Below are 6,000 nucleotides of genomic sequence, written 5' to 3'. Positions count from 1 at the left end.
GTCCTGAAGCACAGTGGTGAACAAAAATGAAAAGTCTCTTAATTTATTTAACTACTTTTTTGTTAGAGGCTAATATTGTTTCCCCATCTTTAAATGGACTTTTGGTCTTGCCAAGAAAACTTGGTAACTGGCAAAGGAGTTGAGGAGAAGATAACATTATTTTGGAAAACTGGAGCCAAACTTCCAGAAAAGCCTTTGCTACTCAGTGTGTTAAAATAAAATCCTTTCTTTCTGCATCTATTATAACAACGTAAACAACAGTAGGCACTTAATGAGTGCAGTCTAAATAAGTTCCATATATTGGATTTTTTAATTCTCAAAATTGCCCTATGAAGTAGATACAGTTATTGGCAGTACTATTATTCCCATTTTATAGCCAAGGAAAATGAGGTACAGAAAGGTTAAGTAACTTGCCTAAGGTCACAAAGTAAATAAATAGAAAGACGGATTTGACCCTGGCAACCTGACTCCAAAACCTTTATCCTAGGCTACCTCTTGTTAATACTGAACTTAGCATATAAGTGTATTATTGAAGCATTGTATGTGTTGTGATTATTTTTCACATCTGACCTCTAAGAGTGTAAGCCTCCTGAGGGCAGAGGCCCTTTTATTAATTTTTGTGTGACTCAAACAGTGAATGATTTATAAGGAGCATCCTGTAATGTTTTGAAGAACGAATAAAAGAATACATGAATAAATGCCATTTGGAAATGTAACATATCTCTAAAGAATGGAAGATTGTGTGGGGAATAGGTGTTCAGAAAATGTTATGAAAATTCAAAATTCTTCCTACAGAAGCAATCCTTTTCCATTGGTAGGAGGGCCCTCTATTCTAGGATCAGCTGTATACTGACCAGCATCAGACATACACTTCCACTCTACTCTAGCAAACTTGAAAAAAATCTAGATGAAAAATCATTCAATTATCTGCATGTTAAGTGGCTGTCCATTATGTAGATATATGACGAAAGGTCTGTATTTGAAAATATAAAGATGTTTGGTGTCATCAATTCAACAGTTTTTACTGGACGAAGTTATACTTTTCATCCTGAAATTTTCATTTACTATTGACACTACTTTTAAAACTTGTATTCAGAGATAACTAAGGGACACAACCAGTTTAAAAGTTAGAGAAGTCTGGGCGCAGTGGCTCACGCCTGTAATACCAGCACTTTGGGAGGCCGAGGCGGGCAGATCACGAGCTCAGGACATCGAGACCATCCTGGCTAACACGGCGAAACCCCCTCTCTACTAAAAATACAAAAAATTAGCTGGATGCTGTGGCGGGCACCTGTAGTCCCAGCTACTCGGGAGGCTGAGGCAGGAGAATGGCATGAACCCAGGAGGCAGAGCTTGCAGTGAGCTGAGATCGCGCCACTACACTCCAGCCTAGGCGACAGAGCGAGACTCCGTCTTAAAAAAAAAAAAAAAAAAAGAGAGAAAACAATCTAGCTGTTGGATGATGTTGAGTGCCTTTCCTTGCAGAATGGGCTTCTGTCCAAGGATGAAAGAGTTGACCTCCAAGTGTATGCTGTTGTTACTGATGGTTCTGTGCAACTCAGCTGGCTAAGTAGTTCTCCATGGGGCTGGTAGGGGCTTTTTGGAAATTCACTGAGGAGGATTTGTTTGTCACAATGATAGAAGAGAAGGGTCATTGGCGTTGTAGAGCTCTCAGCCGGGACATCAGATAGTCTTCACTGTGTGGAAGAGTTCTCACAGCAAGGATTTGTACCATGTCTCAAGTGACTTTTAAATATTAAAAACGTATTATTTTGTTATATATTACTTCTTTTTAAATTTACCTTTGAATTATGTATGTAGCTAGATTATCTTTGAATTTTATGTCTGGGGAGTTAAGGGGGCTCTAGAGAGTATTTCCTTTACAAGGGGAGCACTGAGTTTCAAAAGGTTGAGAATCCCAAAATCAGACAAGATACCTTAGGAATTAGTGTTTCTGGAGTATAGCAGGATTCCATTTTTCTTAGATATAGAATTTCAGGTGAAACTTAGTAGGGCGAAAGATTTGGTAAATAGCCAGTGAGAATTCTTGAATTAGTGCCTGGGATATTTAGTCTCACAAATATTATCCACATTTCCTTAATTCCGCTGGTTTTTTTTCATGTCATTCCCCAGTGAATATGAAATGTGATAGAATTTGGGGAAGATGGATTGTTCCAAATGTAATTAGAAGGACATGAGTTATATAGCCTGGAATCTAGTGGACGCCTCCTTGCTTTATGTGTGACATGATCAGAATTTTTCTTGAGGATGATAAATCTGATAGTGGGATATTGCATAATTTCAGATCAGAAAAACCACATCTCCCAGATTGGGTCACTCCTTCTAGAAGGGAGTAAAAATAAAATAACATTTGTCCTATTTCTTCATCCCTACACAGATCTTTTTTTTGCTTTTGATCATGCTTCCTGATTCTTAGGGCTCTTCATTTCCTCTCCTGCAATCTCAGGGGATTATGTGGGCCAGAAAGTTGAGCAAGTGATTGATCTGGGACAGCTCTTAGTCTTGGCTTCATCACTTTACTTTCTCACCTTCCTCTGGAAGGCAAATTGCAAGCTTGCTTCTTCTTGTTACTTTCTAGGTTAACTCCTCTTTAGAACTGGTATCCTTGGGGCTGTGTGAATATAACATTTTATAGCCAATGATTTCAGGATCTTAACTATTATTTTGTTGGAATAGATTTTCAAAAACATTCTCACTCTAAAAAAGTCAGTCTTTGCCTCAAAGAAGCACCTGTATATCTTGGCATTTCCTAAAAGGCATCTCACATCTTTTACATAAAGGAAAATCTCAGTAGATAACTAGCTACCTTCTAATTTAATCCTCAACAAGCTTGGTATACTATAGAGTATTATCTTAAGAAGGCTAGGCAAATCCTGCTTGTATCAGTGATTAAAATTCTAAACTACACTTCTACCTGCACAAGGACAGATTCCTAACTGATATCTTTATGTTTGATTGACTCTTTTGCCCTCTCATGTTTGCAAGAAGGTAAACTTTGTAAAACAAACATATTCCTATGAACTTTTGTGGTGGTGTTTGTTTTGTTTTTGCGAACACAAAGATAAAAGCAAAACAAAAACAAAATCACTACTGAGGAGACTGGAACATGAAGAGAACGAGCCAAAGGCTGGAGAGGAGAGGAGGGCAGAGGGTTCCCAAGGTAGATTGGGAATCCAGTGTTAAGTGAGGCTAATATTTCTAATGGCCTCCCCTTTTTTTAAAATCATGTTGAAAAAAAAAAAACCTTTGCAACAACACAGATGCAGTTGCAGGCCATAATCCTAAGGAAATTAATGTAGGAACAGATAACTTAATATCACATATTCTTACTTAAAGGTGGGAACTAAACATTCAGCACACAGGGACATAAACATGGGAAAAATAAACACTGTGGACTACTAGTCAGAGGAGGAAGGGTAGGATGGGTTGAAAAACTACCTATTGCGCACTATGCTCACCACTTGGGTGCTTGGGTGATGGAATCTGTACTCTAATCTTTAGCATCATGCAGTATTCCCATATAACAAGGCTGCACGTCGACCTCTTATATCTAAAATAAAAGTTGAAATTAGCAAACAACCAAAAACACCTCAGGGCCTCCCAGGTTTTAATCCTAGGTGATTTAGATTTATTTGAGCAGCTACATTCTTCTAATTCTTGATTTATTATTAGGACAAAAATTCTCTTAGAAGTAAAGGCCCTGAAACCTCCTGGCAGGTCAAGGTGTTTTCAAGGGTAGTCTGGGAAGGGAAACTCAATAATACATTAAAATCCATCAGATTCTTGCTGAGATTAGCTGTCACCTAGCAAGACCTTGAGGGAAAGGACATTGGAGGAGGGAAGGAGGAAAAGATCAGGAAAGCTTCCTGGGTAAACTTTTCTGGGGAGAGCAAGTGGAATCCATCAGGAAACTGCCTGGGGGCCCCAACTGTTGGTGGTTGGGGGATGCTTAGAAGGCAGTAGAAAGACAGCTGACAAAGGGGGTTGTGGAGGGCTTAGTGGTAAATTTCTCCAGTATGTGGTACTGCCCAGCACAATGGGTAAAACATAGTAAGCCAATACCACATATTGGTTAATTTCCTTTTCTCAAAGCTTCCTCTAGGATGGGCTTGTCCTGTAGCCTCCAGAGTAGCTTCCCAGGGCTTGATTTGTTTGGACTAAGATGAACTTTGTATTCTTGATCCTTTTGTTTGATCAGTTCTATGACTCAGGGTTGTGTTAGTGTCTCTGCTTTCCCTACTGGACACCCCATACATTTTGACCTCAGTCCAGGACTACTCTAGCAGCTCTCTGGTTGTGTGTTTGCGTGTGTGAGAGAGTATGTGAGTTATTATTCTCCCTCTCATCCTGCCCTCTCTTTCCATGAGTTCCTATGTCAGGGCCAGAGACACACACTATTCTTATAATTAATGCACTGAGCTTTGTACATATGATGTAGAGCCTAATTTTACATTAAACAGTCTGAAATGTTATCAGATTATTCGATCCCAAGTAATCCAATCTTGCAAAAAGTTTTATTCTTGAAACTAGAGTATAAAGAGAAACTGCCATCCTTAAGAAATGCAATTCAGTAGTCTCAAAATTTTGCTTTGGGAGGACAATTTCCTGGTAGGCTGCCAGACCCTCTGTGCTGATTTTACATCCATTAGGGGTTTCTTTGTTTGGATTATTGTTGCTGATATTCCTACTTCAAAAGGGGCATTGACCCACTTTCACACCCCTTGTCAGATGTGGACAAAGATCTTTCCGAAAATTGCTTTACAATGGCTGAGTTGAATGTCCACACTCACTGTATTAAATTATTTGTGATGACAAAGGGAAATAATGGGTTGAAAATGCCATCTTTAGTGGCATCTTCACTAAGTGTTGCTTTACTTTTTTTTCAATGTAGTCTGCAGAATGGGTCTTCAGGTTACTTATAACCATGAAAATGGCTTCTCTGAGAATCTGGGTCCTGCAGCTCTGATATATAATGTGAGGGTTCTGTGCTCTCTTTTCTTTTATATATATATATATATATATATATATATATATATATATATATATTTTATTATACTTTAAGTTCTAGGGTACATGTGCACAATGTGCAGGTTTGTTACATATGTATACATGTGCCATGTTGGTGTGCTGCACCCATTAACTCGTCATTTGCATTAGGTATATCTCGTAATGCTATCCCTCCCCACTTCCCCTACCCCACAACAGGCCCCAGTGTGTGATGTTCCCTTTTCTGTGTCCAAGTGTTCTCATTGTTCAATTCCCACCTATGAGTGAGAACATGCAGTGTTTGGTTTTTTGTCCTTGCAATAGTTTGCTGAGAATGATGGTTTCCAGCTTCATCCATGTCCCTACAAAGGACATGAACTCATCCTTTTTCATGGCTGCATAGTATTCCATGGTGTGTATGTGCCACATTTTCTTAATCCAGTCTATCATTGTTGGACATTTGGGTTGGTTCCAAGTCTTTGCTATTGTGAATAGTGCTGCAATAAACTTATGTGTGCATATGTCTTTATAGCAGCATGATTTATATTCCATTGGGTATATACCCAGTAATGAGATGGCTGGGTCAAATGGTATTTCTAGTTCTAGATCCCTGAGGAATCGCCACACTGACTTCCACAATGGTTGAACTAGTTTACAGTCCCACTAACAGTGTAAAAGTGTTCCTATTTCTCCACATCCTCTCCAGCACCTGTTGTTTCCTGACTTTTTAATGATTGCCATTCTAACTGGTATGAGATGATATCTCATTGTGGTTTTGATTTGCATTTCTCTGATGGCCAGTGATGATGAGCATTTTTTCATGTGTCTGTTGGCTGCATAAATGTCTTCTTTTGAGAAGTGTCTGTTCATATCCTTCGCCCACTTTTTAATGGGGTTGTTTGTTTTTTTCCTGTAAATTTGTTTGAGTTCTTTGTAGATTCTGGATATTAGCCCTTTGTCAGATAAGTAGATTGCAAAAATTTTCTCCCATTC

The sequence above is a fragment of the Homo sapiens genome, chromosome 11 (genome assembly GCF_000001405.40).
Source record: "Homo sapiens chromosome 11, GRCh38.p14 Primary Assembly".
In the NCBI taxonomy this organism is placed as follows: domain Eukaryota; kingdom Metazoa; phylum Chordata; class Mammalia; order Primates; family Hominidae; genus Homo; species Homo sapiens.
Note: the sequence above shows the minus strand (reverse complement) of the source record.